General features: G+C 42.5%; 1 protein-coding gene across 5 annotated transcripts in view; it reads left to right on the top strand.

The window, feature by feature from the left end:
• The window catches only part of CNKSR3 (CNKSR family member 3), a 123171-nt gene extending 103343 nt beyond the window's left edge, over positions 1-19828 (top strand). For 3 of the 5 annotated variants that reach the window (NM_001368116.1, NM_001368118.1, NM_001368119.1), the window contains one exon: positions 691-2044. In NM_001368116.1, the coding sequence (NP_001355045.1) occupies positions 691-989 (299 nt within the window). In that variant the 3' untranslated portion in view covers positions 990-2044. Of the gene's footprint in view, positions 1-690 lie in introns of all 5 variants that reach the window. The other 2 variants (NM_173515.4, NM_001368117.1) reach the window with 2 other exon arrangements.
• The last annotated feature ends 1971 nt before the right edge of the window (positions 19829-21799 follow it).

Genomic DNA, 21799 nt, shown 5'->3' with positions numbered 1-21799 from the left:
TGCTGGCAGTTAGGGCAGGATCACTCTTTTCCTTGTTCGGGAATGTTCCTGAATGCCCAGCTTGAATGCCCTGCATTAAACAATGCATAAACAGTTCTGTTCAGCCATCGCGGGGACACTACACTCTATGGTCCCCACCCACTAAAGGAGACCCGTGTGCTACCTCTCAGGCGCTAAAGCAGCCTAAAGTATGAGGGACCCTTCCCATTTCTGCTTCCAGAGCACCCATTGGTGGGCCCAGCCACAGGTGGGACCTTGTGGCCAATCCAGGGAGGAGAGCAGTAAAGGTATGGTGCCCACATTCAGGGTGGTGGCAGAAGTCTGGGCAGGCCGAGGGCCCTCCAAAGAGCACTGTGTAGGGGATTGTGATTTTTTTTTTTTTTTCCTGGAGGGGACAGAGTCTCGCTCTGTCAACAGCCTGGAGTGCAGTGGCGCGATCTTGGCTCACTGCAACCTCCGCCTCTCGGGTTCAAACGTTTCTCTGAGTAGCTGGGACTACAGGCGCCCGCCACCACGCCAGCTAATTTTTGTATTTTCAGTAGAGACGGGGTTTCACCATGTTGGCCAGGATGGTCTAGATCTCTTGACCTCGTGATCCACCCACCTCGACCTCCCAAAGTGCGGAGATTACAGGTGTGAGCCACCACGCCCGGCTGGGATTGTGACTTAATGGACTTTGTCTGGAAACAGGGGAGGATGCCCTTTGCCGGTATTTCAGTAACGAGCGGATTCCTCCGATCATTGAAGAGAGCTCCTCTCCCCCATACCGGTTCTCCAGACCCACGACCGAGCGGCATCTGGTCCGGGGTGCGGACTACATCCGAGGAAGCAGGTGCTACATCAACTCAGATCTCCACAGCAGCGCCACGATTCCATTCCAGGAGGAAGGGACCAAAAAGAAATCTGGCTCCTCAGCTACGAAGTCCTCGTCCACAGAACCGTCCCTCCTGGTCAGCTGGTTTACGCGCCTCAAACTGTTGACTCACTGAGAGGGACCCTGCTCAGGCCACCTGCCTGGCTCCTGCCCCAAGTGCCTTGCTTTTACAGTGGACAGCCTCTTCTCGTTTCAGCCTCAGTATTATGTAGGGACCTTATGCAATTTCTTTTTCTTTTGAAAAGTTATCTACTGCCCTTCTTGGAAGTTTGCAGGATTGGATGGGAACAAATTCAGAGGATCTTAGGTGCTGGCTTGTGGAGACAAAAGGAGGGAAATGGGTAGAGCCTGTTTGTCTTGCTTCCCCAGAGATAGAATGTGAAGACACGCGCTAGAAATCGCAGTCCTGGCCAGAGACGTTATGGTCATTGTGAGGGACTGGTGGCATTGTTCCTTTTTGAGGGGCTGGGGGGACTCAAATTGGTGGCTGTTTTCACACAGATGTGTTGGTTTGTGGTCCAACTTCTTTATCTGAAAAAGCCAGTGAGAAAACATTTTTGATTTGATTTTTCTAAACTATCTACCATATTTTAAGTGTAGCAGCTTTGACTTTGCAATAACGTGGCAAGTATCTGATTTCTCCTTTGAGGCAGAGGTTTAAGTGTAGGCCTGTTACACTTGTTTGATACCTTTTTCATGACAGTCTCAGTATAGATCAGTTGGTACAGAAATACATGAACACATTTTGATAGGGCTTATTTCACACAAAGAAGTTTATGGTTATTTGTGTGGGGTGGTGTTGTTATATATTATTGTCTTTAAGGGAAAAGAAGCTATAAGATTCGCTGACAGCCAAAGTATCATTTAGAAAAGTGAAGCAACAAGATTTAGGTTGATGAAAGATACATGAGTTTGCATTTTGACCTGTTCAGTGTCTGTCTTCCAGCACGGTGTGTACACTTCTTCAAAATTGTACACAGTTTGCTAATTAGAAATATCTTGGAAAGCCTCATGGTCACTAATTTTCAACTAGCATCAGGTATTTTGAAAACGTGTGTCTGGATATTAACTCTTGTTTAAACTGAATGTATGATATTTTGTTAGAATGGAAAAGTACTATCTTGTTAATTTAAGTATTTTAAATATAGTTGTATATTTTTCTTACTCTTAGTCACCTGTAATTGAAATATTTCTGTTTTGCGTCATACACGAAGCTAGTGAAAAAGAAAGTGCAAGGCATTTTCAGATGAGCAAGTGACTATCGTGGCTGTTGCCAGCAGGGCAGTATTGTTAAAAAAAATCAAAATAAACCCTCCCAAGCATTTTGGGATTTTATGGATTAGAAATGGAAGAACAGGAGAAGCATATGCAAAGTGAAATTGCACGAGGGGAATTTTCTGAGGTATCTTCCTAGGCAGAGCCGAAATCTCCTACTCCAAAATGCCCTTTCTCATACCACCGGAATTGTTGAGTTTGCTGAACTGCCTGGAATTCAGCCCATGAAAATCACTGGAGTTAGGAAACATCTTCCCTTTAAAATGCTTCTGGTGTGGTTAAAGGAACTAGCAACCACTCATGTATAATTACTGTGACTGAATTCAGTCAGGCTGGTTTTTTTTGTTTGTTTGTTTGTTTTTGAGATGGAGTCTCAATCTGTCACCCAGGCTGGAGTGCAGTGGCGCAATCTCAGCTCACTGCAACCTCCACCTTCCAGGTTCAAGCGATTCTCCTGCCTCAGCCTCCCATGTAGCTGGGATTATAGGTGCCCGCCACCATGCCTGGCTAATTTTTGTATTTTTAGTGGAGACGGGGTTTCACTACGTTGGCCAGGCTGGTCTCAAACTCCCAACCTCAACTGATCTGCCGGCCTCAGCCTCCCAAAGTGCTGGGATTACAGGCATGAGCCACCACACCCGGCTCAGTCTGGCTGTTTTCTTCTCTACCTCTAAGACAACTGCCATGAAGATCTGGTATTTCGGCCTGGCGCAGTGGCTCATGCCTGTAATTCCAGAACTTTGGGGGGCCAAGGTGGGTGGATTACCTGGGGTCAGGAGTTCAAGACCAGCCTGGCCAACATGGTGAAACCCTGTCTCTACTAAAAATCAGCTTCGCATGGTGGTGGGCACCTGTAGTCCCAGCTACTCGGGAGGCTGAGGCAGGAGAATCACTTGAACCCTGGAGGCGGAGGTTGTAGTGAGCCAAGATCAGGCCACTGCACTCCAGCCTGGGTGACAGAAGGAGACTCTGTCTCAAAAAAAAAACAAAAAGAAAAAGATCTGGTATTTCATGGAGACATGGAGACCCAAGGGTGTTTGGCAGATGGAGAGAAGAGGCTTGCAGTGTGTGACCACAGGGTGTTCAACACACTAGGAGGGTGGGGTGTGGGCTGGGGAGGTCTCGTGTAGGGCACTGGTGATGAGGAGGGAGCTGTGTACGAGGGGCGAGCCAGCCCTGCCTGTTTTACTCTTGTCTTGAGCTGGCTTTATGCCCAGGAAGTGGGTGGCAACATCTCCTCTTACTCCCCAGATTGTGGGGAGAACTCTAAGAGCTGTAGTTCCACTGGATGATGAGTTAAATCACTCTGGAGGCCTTAGCTGGCTGGTGAGCTCTTTTTCTGTGGGGAAAATGCCACTTGTGAATTGAACAGCCATCCTTTAAGTGAATATTCGGCAGTCAGTCTTCATTATAGGCAGTGGCCAACCAGATTGGTGCTTTTCAGCCTTTGTTCCCTGGAGTCCCAGGACCCGCGAGAGAAGTTCCTGGCTCCTCTACTTGCAGTCACCCTCCACAGCTTCATCTTTCTTTTTATTTGAGGTTTTCTCCTGAATTGTGTTTGAAAAATATATTGCTGCTAAAAAAAAAAAACCTTTGTAAACCTCTACTATGGACATACATAAATAATAGTTTAATATGGATTTCTTAGAAATTAATGGAAACTGCTTGCCTCAGTAGTAATCCAGGTTTAATTGTGGACGTGTGTTCACATATGAAGTTGCTTGATGATGCTTTTTGACAGGATTCTTTATTTTTATTTCTTTAAAAAAAATTTTTTTTTTTTTCTGAGACAGATTCTCACTCTGTCACCCAGGCTAGAGTGCAGTGGTACAATCTCAACTCACTGCAGCCTCTGCCTCCCAGGTTCAGGCAATTCTCCTGCCTCAGCCTCCCAAGTAGCTGGGATTACAGGTGCCCGCCACCACACCTGGCTAATTTTTGTATTTTTAGTAGAGATGGAGTTTCACCATGTTGGCCAGGCTGATCTTGAACTCCTTGACAGGATACTTTACAAGAGTGATTGTTAAAACTCTCCCAGACACAACTCAACACCTACCCCTATTATAATATTTTATAGCATCACTTTTCAATCTTCAAATGAAAATCATGGATGATGAAGCTTACCTTCACTCATAAAAACATCACTCCATTTACTATTCTGAAATGAAACTAGCAGGTAATATAACTAGCCTCTAAAACATACCCATCAGTGACGTTCTAACTGAAACAGATAAGATATTTTATAATGAAATAATTATTTTCATATGTACATATTCTAGCATGGTTATATTACAAGATGTAATTAAACTACTAAGCAGGGCACATACTTTGTATGTGTGTGTATAAATATAAATATGTGAAAAATCACCATGAATGTGGTAGTTACCAATTCAGACCTGCTGCATTGGCAGTTCAATACCAGGAAAGGGGTCGATGTCAGCAGTATGATTTTCTAAAATGTGGCCAATTCTTTAGATAAAGTTCTAGGCATACCTAGTCTGTAATGGCTTCACTCATATAGTGCTTGCTGTGTGCCTGGCATTGTTCTAATACCTTTCTAATAAATCTATGAGGTGAGTACTGCTGTTAGTCCCGTTTTGCATATGAGGGAGTTACCCAGGTTATGTGCTAGTCATCCTGGTTATGTGCTAATAATGGCAGAGCTGGGATTAAAATGAAAGCAGCCTGGCTCTGGCTTTCTTGCTCATAATCACTCAGTATATAGGCTTCCTTCCATTTATAGAATTCTCTCATTGCATTCTTGAAAAATCCAAAGCATATTAAAACTGGGCTGAAAATTCTGTGTGTTTATATATAAAATGAAATGAGATCATAGATTTGTTATTGTAAACTGAGTTCCCATCTATATGAATATTGGGCGGGGCAATTGAAAGTTGTGTTGATGAGTCAGCTCTTTGTTGTGAGGGCTGTAAGCTGCAGGGCTTGTGTATCACGCATGCTCCAACAGGTTAAATCTCAGTAGTGGCCGCCCATCAGTGGCACCCCTAACATGCTCACATTTCCAGAACTGCCTCTTGGGCGGAGGTGGGGGAGGGTACCATCTCTTTCAGAACAAGTATTTTAAAAGAAATCCTGTATCCTCCTTAAGTAGTATTTCAGTCTATATATTTGTCCATTTCCTATCTCTGCTTCTCTCTCAGTTCTTTCCCCACCAAACCTGAAATTTCAGAATCTATTTTGTGGGCTTTCTTTTTTTAATTTTTTCCCTGGAAGACCATGAACATTCCTCTTTAGGTTGTTAGTATTGCAGCAAACCCTGAGGTATTGACACAAAACTTTTCATCCGCCAAAGAGCTCGAGTAAGTAAATCTGTCTGACATTTGAATGTCACCAGCAAAGCATGAGACTCATGCTGCCTTTTGCCACCATAGGCATGAATGGTATGGAGAAGTAGGCCTGACTTGTTTTCTTCTATTGTAGATGAGATTAGTTTTGTAGACCATTAGTTCACATTTTGCTCCTACCCTTGTGCATAAAATCACTGCATCATTTCCGTGGGGATGAGACTACTGCAAGCTACTTCCTTGGAGATTCTGTGGAAGATGGACATCTTAAAAGTAAACTACTTTTGGTATGACTGCTCATTGGCTTGGCCAGTGATACTTGATGTTATTTATTTTGTGAGTTACTCTGTGTCTTAATCAGCTCAGGCTGCAATAACAAAATACCATACACTGGGTAGCTTAAATGACAGAAATTTCTCACCGTTCTGGAGGCTGGGAAGTCCAAGATCAAGGTGAGTTCCTGGTGAGCACCCTTACCCTGGTTTGCTGATAGCCATCATCTTCCCATTGCATCCTTACATGGCAGAGAGAGAGAAAGGAAGCAAGCAAGCTCTCCTTTCCCTTCTTGTGAGGGCGCTAATATTCATGAGGGCTCCACCCTCAGGACCTACTCACTTCCCAAAGGCCCACTTATGGTATTAGCTCCGCCTCCTAATACCATTGCTTTGGAGATTAGGGTTTCAACAGATGAATTTTGGGAGGACATAAACATGCAATCCATAGCACTCTGCTTTTGTATATTTTTCAAACCTTTCATGCTAATCAGCTGGAAGGTGAATATTTTAAAATCTATTTTAAAACTGGCTTAAGGAGCACACAAAAGCTGATTTCTGATGTTTCTTCCAATACGTGGAAAATTTTGCATGATGTATTAACCCCTAGTTAGGGTCCCTCAACCCCAGTTGAGGACCTCAACACACATTTGGTAATACCTAAGGGAATTTAAATATATATTTTGTAGCCTATAGCATATGGAATTAGAAAAAAATTAGTCTCTTTACTGTAAAATTTACCTTTTAATTATTTGGAAATTTCACAATTGCCAAGTTTCAACTTAAAGTTTCTATTTATTTGGGGCCAGAATTATTGCCAGAAGTGTGCTAATTTGACAAAGGGTACCTTTTACATAAGTAAAGGAAAAAGTGATTACATCATGTTCAGACCTGCTAGAGGGCCTTGTTTTTCCTCTAGTTTTAGGGGTGTGGAGTCTGTCCCAAACCCTATATATGTGTGCATTTGTGTATGTAAAAGACAAATTTTTTATACTCAAAAGTTTGTCTTAAATAATGGCCTATGGCCTACTGATTTGGATAGAGGAGAGAAATTTTGTCTATAAGCAACAAAAAATGCTACACAGCCAGGAGACTGTCACACACAGTTTTTCAGAACCTTTGGGCCACATACTGCACTCCCCTTCCATAGAAATACACATGGGGTCAGTGATTAAGGACTCAATTCTGGTTGTGACTTGGCCATCCATAGGCATATTCTAAAGTTCTATGGCAACCTTTATGAAGCTCGTCTTCTGAGTTGATCACCTGTTCATGCGCTGCCCATTTACAACATACCTCAGGGATTAAAACGTGAGGCTACACCTAAGGAAAGTCGGTCCTAATCCTGCGTTTCCTCCTGCATGTCACTGACCATTGGAGTCACTGCTCTCTGAGGAAGACAGTTTACAGCCTGAGCATTCATGTCACGCTCACAGCCAACCTGTTACTTGCTGGCCTCCTTTACCAAGCTCCTTGTTTCATGAAGAAGTTGTGAAACTGAAGTTGGAGGAAAAAAATTAAGAAATAAACCTCAAAGGTATTTAAAAGGGCAGTAGAGTAATTACTCCTCACACCCAGGGATAAGGATATTCTCATCATTTTCTCTCCTCTTGCCTGGAGCATAAACATTCAGATGTTTGTGAAGAAATGATTAAAAGGAGAGAAAATATCAGGAGAAAAATGATTAAAATGAGAGAAATGTTCTTCCACTGACTAGACCCATTAAAGGGGAGGATTTAACTTTATTGTTAGAGGGGTGAAAACTGGATTTTAAGATATTTCTTCACCATTTTGACATATCTTGGGCTGAACATTTTGATTATTTTAGAGAATCAGGGAGCTTCAGAAATGAAGTTTAATATAAAGTAAGATTGTCTCTGAAGGAAGAAATTGTCCTTTTAACTCAGTGTCAGGTTCCGTTTTCTTACTCATATCTAAACTTCCTGTCACTCCAACTGAGGCTGCACCAGGATAAGAGGAGGGATTTGAGGAATTAGCGCGAATTTAGAAGCCTTTGACTTTTGGGAATTTGCATCAAGCAGATAGAAGCAGGCGGGGGCTCAGCTTTTGAAGTTGGATCATCCAGCTGTCTCACTTTGCCACTTATGGGATCTGTGACTTGAAGCAGGTGACTGACCTCTCCACTCCTCAGTTATCTATGAAATGGGGATAATACTAGCATCTACTTCGAAGGCTTATGGTGATTAAATGAGATAATGTTTTTAAGGCCCTTTCTTCGCATAGTCTGGCACACAGCATTTAAGAGATGTTGACTCGTGTTCCTGTAGTAGCAGTACTGACTCCATCTCAGCCTCTAGTGAATAAGGTATTCAGAGCTGGCCAACAGGAAATTGCTCATTCTTTTGTCCATAAGCAGCAAAATAATGCCAGTGTGACACTGTCAGAGGGCTGCAGTGTGGTCAGTGGCCTAGAGATGCAGCTTTTACTGTTAGAAAACTCACTCGGATGTTTTAGCCGATTCAGAACTCAAGAAATGACAAAAGTCTGTGATTGGACACACTTTTTTTTTTTTTTTTGAGACGGAGTTTCAGTCTTGTTGCCCAGGCTGGAGTGCAATGGTACGATCTTGGCTCACCGCAACTTCCGCCTACTGGGTTCAAGTGATTCTCCTGCCTCAGACTCCCAAGTAGCTGGGATTACAGGCATGTGCCACCACACCCGGCTAATTTTGTATTTTTAGTAGATGGGGTTTCTTCGTGTTGGTCAGGCTGGTCTCGAACTCCCGACCTCAGGTGATCCGCTCACCTCAGCCTCCCAAAGTGTTGGGATTACAGGCGTGAGCCACTGCGCCCCGCCTAGAGTATTCTTTCAATATTGACTTGATTTGTCATCATCATATCTTTTCTATTAAATCCCTTCCACTTCCTTCAATGAAATCGTATATGAAAACAAAGGGAATCGGAGCATTTTGCCCACCTCCTAGTTGGCTGAATTATTTTTGCCTCCCATTCCCATCTTGAAGTGGTATTCCTCAAACTCGTTTCTATGTTTCCTGTGGTTTTAAATAAAGGAATAATGTAGAATGGTATCTATTTTGGACATTCTCATCGTGAAAAGGAACTCTTACACAAATACAAAGCCAAGAGATTGTGTTGCCATTGTTGAAGCTGAAAAGGACAGTCACTGGATGCCTCCCCACCCAAGGCCAAGGCTTTGGTAGGTCCAGGAAGTGAAAAGGAAAGAGAAGCTATGGGAGAGACAAAGGGAAGTAAAAAATGGTTGTTCGGCTCAGCATAACAATCACTTTTGTGGGGCTTATTGGTTGTGCATAAATTTCATCCATTTGGGCACACACACAGATGTGACACCCAGACCACTCAGACACTTGGCTAACACTGATGCCGTCATCCTGAATGTTGTTTCTGGAAGGACTTTCATGAATAGAATCTATTTCAGATTGGCCGTAAGTCTCGATTTATTGATCCGCACCACTGGACTGGGGTGGGGTTGTGTCCACTTTTTCCCTGCCCCTTCCCTGCTTTGGCTCTTGTGATTGTGTCCTCCGTGTGTCAGGCAGAGCCCTGTGAAGGTGTGGATATGTGGCCATATTTTACCTGCATAATCTGCAGTTCATATGATTCAGCCTAATGGGTTGCAATGCCCTGAGGACAGAGACCATACTTTTTCTTCCTTTGTCTTTTTAGCGAAATTCAATCCTGTTCTGCGCCTGCGCCACAGTTGCAGGCTGTACTGTCTGCCCTGTGCATCTCACACACCCCCACTGCACTGTGCACCTAGTGATGGCCGCAGATTTGCTTTTACTCATCTTCCAGGGCCTACCCTGTTAATTCCATCACAGTTGCAGGCTGTACTGTCTGCCCTGTGCATCTCACACACCCCCACTGCACTGTGCACCTAGTGATGGCCGCAGATTTGCTTTTACTCATCTGTTTGCAGGGCCTACCCTGTTAATTCCATCACAGTTGCAGGCTCTACTGTCTGCCCTGTGCATGCATCTCACACACCCACTGGACTGTGCACCTAGTTGATGACCACAGATTTGCTCTTACCCATCTATTTCCAGGGCCTGCCACTGTTAATTCCTAGGAAAAAAGAAAAAACAAGCATGGTGGATTGGTTAAATTGGCATTTTATATTGTTTGTGTTCATGGCCATGCCAATGATAAACAAGAGCTGGTCATGGGCATTCAGATCAGATGAGCAATTAAATCCCCTCCAAAAAACAGAAACCTACTTTTAGAGAAGAAAAGAATTAAACCAAGATCTTTCAGGGTTTTGCTTCTCCTTTTGTTTTTAAGGCACTTAAATAAATGGAAGAACATGTAAGCTAACCGTGTTTAGAGTACTATGTTTTACTAGAAAGTGCTACCCTTCTGCAGATTTCTCCTCAATGAAAGAATGCCACTGAAGCACCTTTAATGGTGCCTTTATCCTATAGTCTTATTGAATCATTCTCTTTAGCCAACATAAAATACAAAGCCAGGGTATAAGACTTCATGTAGGTGGTAATTTAAACTAACAATTAGTGAGGCCGGGCGCGGTGGGTCACGCCTGTAATCCCAGCACTTTGGGAGGCTGAGGCAGGTGGATCACAAGGTCAGGAGATCGAGACCATCCTGGCTAACACGGTGAAACCCCGTCTCTACTAAAAATATAAAAAAAAAAAAATTAGCCGGGCGTGGTGGCGGGCGCCTGTAGTCCCAGCTACTCGGGAGGTTGAGGCAGGAGAATGGCGTGAACCCGGGAGGCGCAACTTGCAGTGAGCCGAGATTGCGCCACTGCACTCCAGCCTGGGAGACAGAGCGAGACTCCGTCTCAAAAAAAAAAAAAAAAGAAAACAATTAGTGAATTTTTGCTGATGCTTTCCTTAAACCCCTTACTTAGCACTTAGTTCTGGATTCTTAAATCCTGATAATGGACTCATCCTTCTCGGTCTAGTTACCCCAGTAAGTCCCAAGGTCATCCATATGAGGTCCTCCTTGATCTTACTCTGAATAGAATTAACTGGTCTCTTCTGTTTTTCCATAGCATTGACTCATCGTGTTAGACCAGCTTGAATTGTGAGCCTTTCTAAAGCAGGGTCTGTATAATTTACCCTTATATTTGCTCTGTAGGCAGAGAAAATATTATTGAAGTAACTAGATGGTAAAATTAACTGTGCAATCAGAAAAGAAGTTAGAAAAAATTATTAAAATTTTCTGTGAAAATTGTTTTAATTTTATTAATATATTAAAGCATTTTGCAGACTATTCCATAAAGAATTTTATTACATTGGCTCTCATTTTAAAGAAAACATTATACCAGGTGTCAGAACTCAATCATATTTGTAGGAAGAATAAGCCTTGGCCATCAACAACGCTTCTTTGGTTACAGGATTACAGGAACTGCTGAGAATGTAAGCACTTTCCGAAGTCCACAAAGAACTCATTTAAAGCTCGTACAGGCAGTTTCAAATTAGCCAGGGAAAAGTTAATGGTGGGGAGGTAAGGTCATAGAATGCTCTATAAATGGAGGCGACGTGGAGGACAGTTGCAGTTGTATAACATTTGATTGAAGGAGAGGGATTTGGACCTGAGGAAACCAGGTCTATAAATACTAAGGCTGGCTGGGCACAGTTGGCTCATGCCTGTAATCTCAGCATTTTGGGAGGCTGAGGCCGGTGGATTGCTTGAGCCCAGGAGTTTGAGACCAGCCTGGACAACATGGTGAAACCCTGCCTCCAAACAAACAAAATTAACCGAGTGTGGTGGTGTGCACCTGTAGTCCCAGCTACTCAGGAGGCTGAGATGGGAGGATCTCTTGAGCCTGAGAGGTAGAGGCTGCAGTAAGCCCAGATTGCACCACTGCACTCCAGCCTGGTGACAGAGTGAGACTCCATCTCAAACAAACAAAACGTACATGCATATATAGGCTGTAGACTAAATAGTGAAATATTACTAAGAACCTTCATCCCAAGGGGTTGAGTGGTAGAACCACTGAGAATATTGTTGCTGCTCTTTTGGAGACAACAAACTGCATTAATAAAAGTCTGAGAACAAGAAAGTTGAGTTTTCAAGTAATGTCCTTTGCATATTGCTACATAGGGCTCATCTGAGTCTGTGATGTTCTACTTTGTTGATGAAAGAAAACAAGTGGAAATTCTGCTCCCCCACACATCCTGCACTGCAAAAAGATAACAAGTAGCAGGAGATACTCAATTATGATGCAGTTCAACAAAGAAAACAAATTAAAATAAAGAGATCCTGGGTGGTTAAATACAGAGTCTCCTTTGTAAACAGCAATGGATGATGATGATGACTGTTACCAGGGCTCTGTATGATCATTTTCCCAATTCTTTGGAGTACTTTTTTCAAAAGCACTCTTGTAGAATTAACTGGAAACATAGACTACCCTTCACTCATTACATGGGAAATGGGATTGAATTCTCTTCTTGGCAATGGAAAATACTTGATGCATGCAAATAAGAAAACTCTTACTTTTTCCTTCTCTCCTTGCAGGGGGAGCACGCGTCCTAAGCTTGCCAGGAAGCCCTGCTCTCCTGCCCTGGGCACCTCCGTTCCACTTGACCTTTTCCACCTGTACTCCCTGCATTTTGGTCTCTTGCTCTGGTCTTTAGCCTTCGCATTTTCCTGATGCAGCCCAAACCAGTCACCTCTCTCCTAGATTCATTCTCTGTGCTCAGACCATCTCTTTCCTTTAGTTCCTGTGACGAAAGAAAATGTATTTGGCCATTGGAGGTATAAGCAACAAAGAATCCAACCCACACAGCTTTATATATGCAGGTTCTCTATATGCTCTTCTTGTGAACAGCGTGGGGAGAGGAAAATAGACTTGGCAAGAGGACTAAGAACAGAATCGGACAGTTATCTGATGGCTTTCCTAAGGTTCAGGAAAGAACAGTGGTCCCTTTGTTGGGCCTTTCTGTTGTTTCTTTGTTTTCAATTTCACTGATTTCTGCTTTTTATTTTCTATTTTCTTCTGTTTCCTTTGGAATTCTTCTTTTTTTTTTTTTTTTTTTTTACTTCTTGTATTAGGCTCATGCTATAACAAACAACCCCCAAATCTCAGTGACTTTACACACTAAGAGTTTACATTTTCCTCATCAACGTCCACTTTGGATGTTCCAGGTTGGGTAATGCTCTGTGGCTGTCCTCTAGCTAGTGACTCAGGGACTTGGGTTGCTCCTGGTGTCTCCAGCGTGGTTATGGTGTCTCCAATTTTGGACTTCAAGGTGACCCAGGCATTATCCACCTGGTAAATTGGGAGATGGGTCCCAGGAAAGTGAATACTCAACCAACCTGGCCTAGAAGTGACAATAATAAGGCCATGTGTGGTGGCTAACAGTCAGAAACCCAACAATTGGGAGATTGAGCTGGGAGGATTGCTTGAGACCAGAAGTTCAAGACCAGCTGGGCACCATAGTGAGACCCTATCTTTCAAAAAAATATAACAACCAGGCTTGGTGGTGTACACCTGTGGTCCCAGCTATTTGGGAGGCTGAGGTGGGATAATCGCTGGAGCCCAGGAGTTTGAGGTTACAGTAAACCAGGTTTACACCACTGCACTCCAGTCTGGATGACAAAGCAAAACCCTCATCTCACAAAAGAAAAGAAATGACAATCACAGCCACTGCAACTTCAAGGAAGGTTGGGAGAGTGATATTGGTCAGGATGAGTGGTCTCTGACATGTTTCTTAAGTTGGATATTTAGCTTATTAATTTACAACTCTTTTCTAATATTAATACTCAAGACTACATTTTCCCCAAAACATTTATTTTGCCATGTTTTGCAAGGCTTGGTATATGGCATTTTCATTACTCTTTAATTCTAACTAATTTTTAATTTCTATTATGATTTATTATTTGATCTATGAATCATTTTGAAATTTGTTTTTGTAACCTTGGATAGGGAAAGATTTCTTATAGAAGACAGTAAAAGGGCTGAGTACAAAAGAAAAGACTAATAAATTCAGCTACGCTAAAGCTTAGAACTTTTCCTCATCATAGGACACCTTAAAGAAAATTTTTAAAAAGTTACAAATTGGGAGAAGATTAAAAAGTCCTAAGGGTTAGCAGTAAGAATATATACATATAATTATTACAAATTGGCAAGAGAATGACAAATCAACACAAAAACGAGCGAAAAGGCATTTTGCAAAAGAGAATCAGATGGTCCATATGCATGTGAAGCGATTTTCACTAGCGAGCAGGGAAAGTGAAGTCAAAATCACAGGGAGATGCTGCTCTCTACCTGACTGGCAAAACTGAAATGATTAGAAAATACTTGGAGGATATCCTAGAACGATCAGTGGGATCTGGTATATTATGTGTATGAGGTTAAATTAGCAGTGAGTATTCACATACCCTATGACTCAGCAGTTTCATTCCTAGATATATATCCTGGGGATTAGAAACACTAAGTAGGTGGGTGCAGTGGCTCACACCTACAATCCCAGCACTTTGGGAGGCCAAGGCAGGTGGATCACTTGAGGTCAGGGGTTCGAGACCAGACTGGCCAACATGGTGAAACCCCATCTCTACTAAAAATACAAAAATTAGCCAGGCGTGGTGGCGGGCACCTGTAATCCCAGCTACTTGGGAGGCTGAGGTGGGAGAATCGCTTGAACCCCGGAGGTGGAGGTTGCAGTGAGCTGAGATTGTGCCACTGTACTCCAGCCTGGGCGACAGAATGAGACTCCATCTCCAAACAAACAAACAAACAAACAAACCACTAACTACCTCAGAGGACAATGCTAACATTTCAAAGTGTTCTAGAAGTTGGTTTCCCAGAAAAGAAGTCAGGCTCTTGTGGAGCTCCATGGAAACTGGCAATGACCCATGACTTAGGGCAGTGAAGTCTCATCAAATGCAAGGCTTAGACCCCATTCTGCTGCTGCCGTCAGGGGAGGCAAGGGCTCCTTGTTCCCCAAACATCGATGCTAATGAAGCAAATCCTGCTGCTAGTTTGCAGTGTTGCCTAGCTGCAAACACAACCTCTGATGATGCCAATAGAGAGGCTGGTGCCTCCTTCATCATAGAGCTTACAATCCCCACAAGGTTTCGGGACCCTCTTTTGGATTCTGAGGGTGGGCTCCTTTAGCCATCTGTTTAGTGCCCCAGATGAAATTGACAGCAGGGGACCTGCACTCCTTCTACTGCTTTTTCTCAAGGCATCCCCAGCAGAGGGTCTCTAGGGTGCCTGTTATGTGTGCTGTTTGGCCATCTGCCTTTGTAGAACACAGCCCAATGTCTGTTGGCAAAAAAAGGTTTACATGTGGTATATTCTTACCATGGAATATTCTGCAGCAAGTAAAAATGAATAAATTACAGCTATTCATATCAAAGAGATGGATTTTATTAATATAGTGCTGAGTGGGAAAAAGCATCAGAAGACAACATATAATGGTACACTCTTTTTTTTTTTTTGAGATGGAGTCTCTCTCTGTTGCCCAGGCTGGAGTGCAGTGGCTCCATCTCGGCTCACTGCAACCTCCACCTCCCAGGTTCGAGCGATTCTCCTGCCTCAGCTGCCCGAGTAGCTGGGACTACAGGTGCGCACCACCACACCAAGCTAATTTTTGTATTTTTAATAGTGACGGGGTTTCACCATGTTGGCCAGGATGGTCTCTGTCTCTTGACCTCATGATCCGCCTGCCTCAGCCTTCCAAAGTGCTGGGATTACAGGCATGAGCCACCATGCCCAGCTACATTCTTTTTAAACATTCAGAAACAGGTAAAACTGAAAAATATATAATTTAGACACAACACTTATGTGAAAAGACCAAGTTTAGGATGTTGGTTACCTGTGACGGGGCAGCAAGATTGTGGGAAAGGAAGGAAGCTACAGGTATGTGACAGAGAGTTGCATTAGCCCAAATCTCTACAGAGCTGGTGTCAAGGATGAAACTATTGGTGTTTTATTTGGAAGATACAAGCCCAAGGCGAGGTGAGAAAAAAGAGAAGGGAAGCAAAAGAAGACACAAAGTGACACAAAATGGCATGAACTAAATTACGTTCTCTCCAAATTCACATATTGAAGTCCTAACCCCAGTACCTCAGAATGTAACTGTATTTGGAGATTCGGTCTTTAAAGAAGTGATTCAGGCTGGGCCTGATTGCTCACGCCTGTAATCCCAGCACTTTGGGAGGCCGAGGCAGGCGGATCATGAGGTCAGGAGATTGAGACTATCCTGGCTAACACGATGAAACCCTGTCTCTACTAAAAATACAAAAAATTAGCCAGTTGTGGTGGCAGGCGCCTGTAGTCTCAGCTACTTGGGAAGTTGAGGGAGGAGAATGGTGTGAACCCAGGAGGTGGAGCTTGCAGTGAGCCGAGATTGTGCCACTGCACTCCAGCCTGGGTGACAGAGTGAGACCCCGTCTCAAAAAAAGAAAAAAAGTGATTCAGTTAAAATGCAGTCATTATGGTGGGCTCAATCAAGGACATGTGGACACAGATATGTATGCACATGGAGGAAAGACCATGTGAAGTCGGGGAGAAGAAAACCAGCTACACACTAAAGAAAGAGGCGTCAGGCCGGGCGCGATGGCTCCCGCTTGTAATCCTAGCAGTTTGGGAGGCCAAGGTGGGCAAATCACTTGAGGTCAGGAGTTCGAGACCAGCCTGGCCAGAATGGTGAAACCCTCTCTCTACTAAAAATATAAAAATTAGCTGGGCGTGGTGGCATGTGCCTGTAATCCCAGCTACTTGGGAGGCTGAGGCAGGAGAATCACTTGAACCCGGGAGGTGGAGGTTGCAGTGAGCCGAGATGGAGCCACTGCACTCCAGCCTGGGCAACAGAGTGAGACTCCATCTCAAAAAAAAAAAAAAAAAAAAGCCTCAGAAGAAACCAGTGCTGCTGACACCTTGATCAGTCTTCCACCTGCAGAGCTGTGAGAAGACACATTTCTGTTGTTTAAGCTACCCAGTCTGTGGTATTTTGTTATGGCAGCCCCAACAAACTAATACACAAAATGATGCACAGCCTTGCTGACTATCACTTCAAAATGAGCCAAACAGAGACACAACGGGGCACTAGGCAATTGTGTCCCACTCAGTGAAACTTCTCTGGAAAGCTGTAAGGTATAGTCCAGAGACGAGAGGAAGGGAAGAAGAAATTTATCCTCTGGGAGCCTCCCATTTCCTGTCTCCTAATAGTGAGAATTTTTCCATGAGAAGTTAATGTCCCTATACTTTCACAATGTGTTACCTTCTTTTGTTGCTGTTCAAGATGCCAAGCCTATGCCCTGCAGTGTGGCCTTTTGTCAGAGTCCATAAAGGGCAGGAGGAACTAGGAACTCTGGGTGTGTATGGTTGGCCCAGCTGCAGAGTTGACAGTCAAGGGGATAACCAACTCTAATCAGCCTAGAAGGGAACTTGGTAGCCTAGGTGAGTTGGTCAGGCACAGGCTGGGGCTAAGGCAAGGCAAATGGCTGAGGTCTAAGACGTAGGTGGTGCTGAGAAAATGTGGGGAAGCATACAAGATTTGTGACTGATGAGTAATATTCTAGTTCTTGGTTAGGATAATGGGTACATGGGGTGTTCCTTTTATTATTTTCAAAATGAAATGAAATAAAAGAGGGATATGTGTGGACTGATGATGATGTATAATGAATCAAAGATTATGATTAACTTAACTCTGCATACTTGAGTTTGTTTATTTTTCTATAAAAGGAGAATAGCAATATTAAGTCTTACAGCCCAGGAATGAAATGTCTTTCCATTTGTTTGTGTCTTCTTTAATTTATTTCATCAGTATTTTGTAGTTTTCAGTATACAAGTCTTTCACCTCCTTAGTTAAGTTTATTCCCAAGTATTTTATTATTTTGGGTGCTATTATATATGGGATTGTTTCGCTAATTTCCTTTTTAGATAGTTCTGTGTTAATGTATAGAAATCGCAACTGATTTTTGTATGTTGATTTTGTATTATGCAACTTTATTGAATTCCTTTATTCTAACATGTTTAAAAAATGGAGTCTTAGGGCGTTCTATATATGAGACGATGTCATCTGAAGACAGGGACAAAACAATTCTACAGTCCATATGAAACCACAAAAGACCATGAATAGCCATATCAATCTTGAGAAAGAAGAACAAAGATAGAGGCATCACATTGCTTGATTTCAGAATGTATAACAAAACTACAGTAATCAAAACAGTATGTTACTGGCCAACAGATAGACATATATGTGAATGGAACAGAATAGAGAGTCCAGAAATAGATTCACATGTATATTGTCAACTGATCTTCAACAATGGTGCCAAGAATACATAATGGGGAAAGGATAGTCTCTTCAACACATGGTATTGAGAAAATCAGATATCCATGTGCAAAAGGGGGAAACTGGACTTTTATCTTACATCACATACAAAACCCAACTCAAAATGGATTAAAGATTTAAACATAAAATCTGAAGCTGTAAAACTCCTAGAAGAAAACATAGGCGAAAAGCTCTTTGACATTGGTCTTGTCAATGATTTCATGGATATGACCCCCAAAACACAGGCAACAAAAACAAAAATAAGCAAAGTTACATCAAATCACAAAGCTTCTCACAGCAAAGGCAACAATCAACAGAGTGAAAAGAAAACCTATGAAATGGGAGAAAGTATTTGCAAGCGATGTATGTGATAAGGGTTGACATCTAAAATATGTAAGGAATTCATAACTCAATAGCAAAAAAAAAAAAACCCAATTTTTACAAATGGGCCAAGGATCTGAATAGCATGGGCTCTGGCATCTTGAACAGCAATGAAAGAAGCTAGTTGACACATTGCGAGAGTATAGGGATATTAACCTCTCATGGGCAAATTCTCATCAATGAGAGGAAATGGGAGGCTCCCAGAGGATAAAAGGTGCTCATCATCACTGATCATCAGGGCAATGCAAATCAAAACCACCGTGAGATATCAACTCTCACCTGTCAGGATGGCTATCATTGAAGAACCAAAACACAACAAATATTGGTGAAGAAGTGGACAAATTGGAACCCTTGCATACTGTTGATGGGAATGCAAAATGGTGCAGCCACTAAGGAAAACAGTATGGGTGTTCCTAAAAAATGTAAAAATAGAACTGCCATGTGACCTAGCAACCCTATTTCTGGATATTTATCCAAAAAAATTGAAATCAGGATCCCAAAGAGGTATTAGCATTTGCAGGTTCATTGCCGCATTATTCACAATATCCAAGATACACAAACAATCTAAGCGTCCATCGGCGGAGAAATGAATAAAGAAAATGTATATACACATACAATGGAATACTATTTAGCTTTTAAAAAGAAGGAAATTCTGCAATTATTCAACAACATGGATAAATCTTAAGGACATTACGCTAAGTGAAATAAACTATTAACAGAAAGACTAATATGGCAGGATTCAATTTATGTGGGATATTTAAAATAGTCAACTTCATAGAACCAAAGAGTGAAATGATGGTGGCCAGGGGCTGAGGGGAGTGGGGAGTTACTAATCAATAGGCATAAAGTTTCAGTGAAGTCAGGTGAATAAGCTCTAGAGATTTGTGGTACAATATTGCACCTATAGTCAACAATACTGCAGTGTACACTGAACAATTTGTTAAGATAGATCTCACCTTGTGTTCTTACTGAAAAAAAAAAAGAAAGAAAATAGAACAGAAAAGCAATTGGATTTTAATTCTGGAAACTCCTTTCTCTTCCTTACATCCAGGAAATTTGCTGTTTATTTTGAAAAGCAAATTTAAACCTATTTAAGGGAGAGAGAGCTCTTGTAAAAATTCATTTATTAGTTCTGGACCAATGTTATTTATAAGCTATTATTTCAAATGATAAAAAATAAATGCATAATACATTTGATGATAGAACATTTTTCTTTTTAAATAAGGCCTGATTTTTCAAAAAGCATTGAATATGTTTGTTTCTAATTTCCAAAGCTTGACAGTTTCTTATGTTTCATTAAAAGCAGAAGAATTGTTATGTATGCATGTTCATATCACTTTTGAATGACTCATGTGGCTACAAATGCAGCAATCTGTGGTTATCATGGACCATGAACTAGATAAACATTCCTGCTTTTCTTAACATTCCTTTCCTGTGCCTCATTAACTAATGTACATAATAAAACATCTTTATTTCATTTTCTTTGCAGCAAAATGCCTAATACATTTTATTAGTTATGTAAAATTGTGCACTCTGCGGTTAGCTTATTATTTTCTTTTGTAGTTTCCTTTTCATTTGGAAAAGAGTGAAATGCTAGATGCATTGATGTGCAGGCTAAAAAAATCAGTCATGCAAAGTATGGTCATGGTCCCTGCAGGAAACAGATGATACCCTCAAACAGGGTCATCATTGAGTGTTGTGAAGGGGTTATTTACAAAAGTGTAGATAGATTTGGAGCTTCCACAAGGGACTGGTGAAGCATCCCAGCACCAGCAAGGAGGAGTGAACGGGTTAGGGGAGGAAGAGGTCCCTGGAACCCAGGGTGAACGCAGCAATAGAAGGGAGGGGATCCGCATTAGGAGTCATGATCTTTGGGTTTGTTTGTTTGTTTGTTTTTTAGAGACAGGGTCTTGCTCTGTTGCCCAGGCTGGAGTGCAGTGGTGCAATCACGGCTCACTGCAGCCTCAAACTTCTGGGCTCAAGCAATCCTCCTGCCTCAGCCTCCTGAGTAGCTAGGAATGTAGGCATGCACCACCATATACAGCTAATTTTTAGAATTTTAGTAGAGACAGGGTCTTGCTAAGGGGCCCAGGATGGTCTCAAACTCCTGAGCTCAAATGATCCTCCCAAGGTGCTGGGATTACTGGTGTGAGCCAGAATTACAGTGGACCGGGCTGGTCTTGAACTCCTAGGCTCAAGGGATTCTCCTGCCTCAGCCTCCCAAAGTGCTAGGGTTACAGGTGTGAGAGCCACCATGCCCGGCCAATAATTCTTTTTCAACTAGAATGAAGTAATTTACCCTTCATGTTTTGATAATTGCCCTATTTATTTGGAGACTTTTTCTTTTTTCCTTTGGAATGTTAAGTTTTGATAACTTAATTCCATTTTGTTTTATTTTATTTTATTTTTGAGACAGTCTTGCTCTATCACCCAGGCTGGAGTTCAGTGGCAGGATCTCGGCTCACTGCAACCTCTGCCTCGTGGGTTGAAGCCATTCTCCTGCCTCAGCCTCCCCAGTAGCTGGGATTACAGGAATTCACCATCACACCCAGCTATTTTTTGTATTTTTAGTAGAGATGGGGTTTCACCATGTTGGCCAGGCTGATCTTGAACTCCTGACCTCGTGATTCACCTGCCTTAGCCTCCCAAAGTGCTGGGATTACAGGTGTGAGCCACCATGCCCAGCTGCACTTAATTCCATTTTACAAGAGAAGAGCTCTACAGCGGAAGCTTGCCTTTGGACTTGTGGGCTGTCCACTGTCATTTTGATCCCAGGGATGGACAGATGAAGGGTAGTGGAGAAAATGTGTGCTCTGTGCTAGGGAAGAGGGACACAGGAGGGAGAAATAGAAATACGGAGACCCAGGAAATTGTGGATCTTTGTATTTATGTAATCCATAATGCTGTTTTTTGGGGGGGGGGGGTTTGTGGGTTTTTTTTTTTGTTTTTTTTTTTTGAGACAGTGACCTGCTCTGTTGCCCAGGCTAAAATGCAGTGGTACAATCATAGCTCACTGTAACCACAAACTCCTGGGCTCAAGCAATCCTCTCACCTCAGCTTTCAGAGCAGCTGGAACTATAGGCATGCACCACCACACCTGGCTATTTTATTTTATTATTTTTGTAGAGACGGGGTCTCATTATGTTGCCCAGGCTGGTCTTGAACTAGTGTTGGGAATACAGGTGTGAGCCACCACACCTGGATTCATAGTGCTTTTAAATCGCTTTTACATGGAAGGTTTTAGGACTGTCAGTCCGTAGTGTAGAAAGATGCCTTCAGGAAATTTGGACATTTCATTCAAGAGGGAATAGACTAAGTGATCTGCTTCATAAATCTAGCAGCTTATGTATTGTGTCTTGTTCTTTCCAAAGAATTATGAGTGAGTTGAGGGACGGGGAGGAGACACTGGGGAGTTGCCTCATCTAAATAGGATAAAAACGATCAAGTG

This window comes from Homo sapiens, chromosome 6 (assembly GCF_000001405.40).
Source record: "Homo sapiens chromosome 6, GRCh38.p14 Primary Assembly".
Lineage (NCBI taxonomy): Eukaryota > Metazoa > Chordata > Mammalia > Primates > Hominidae > Homo > Homo sapiens.
The sequence above is the reverse complement of the archived record's forward strand: the minus strand, read 5'-3'. Positions and strand labels throughout refer to the sequence as shown.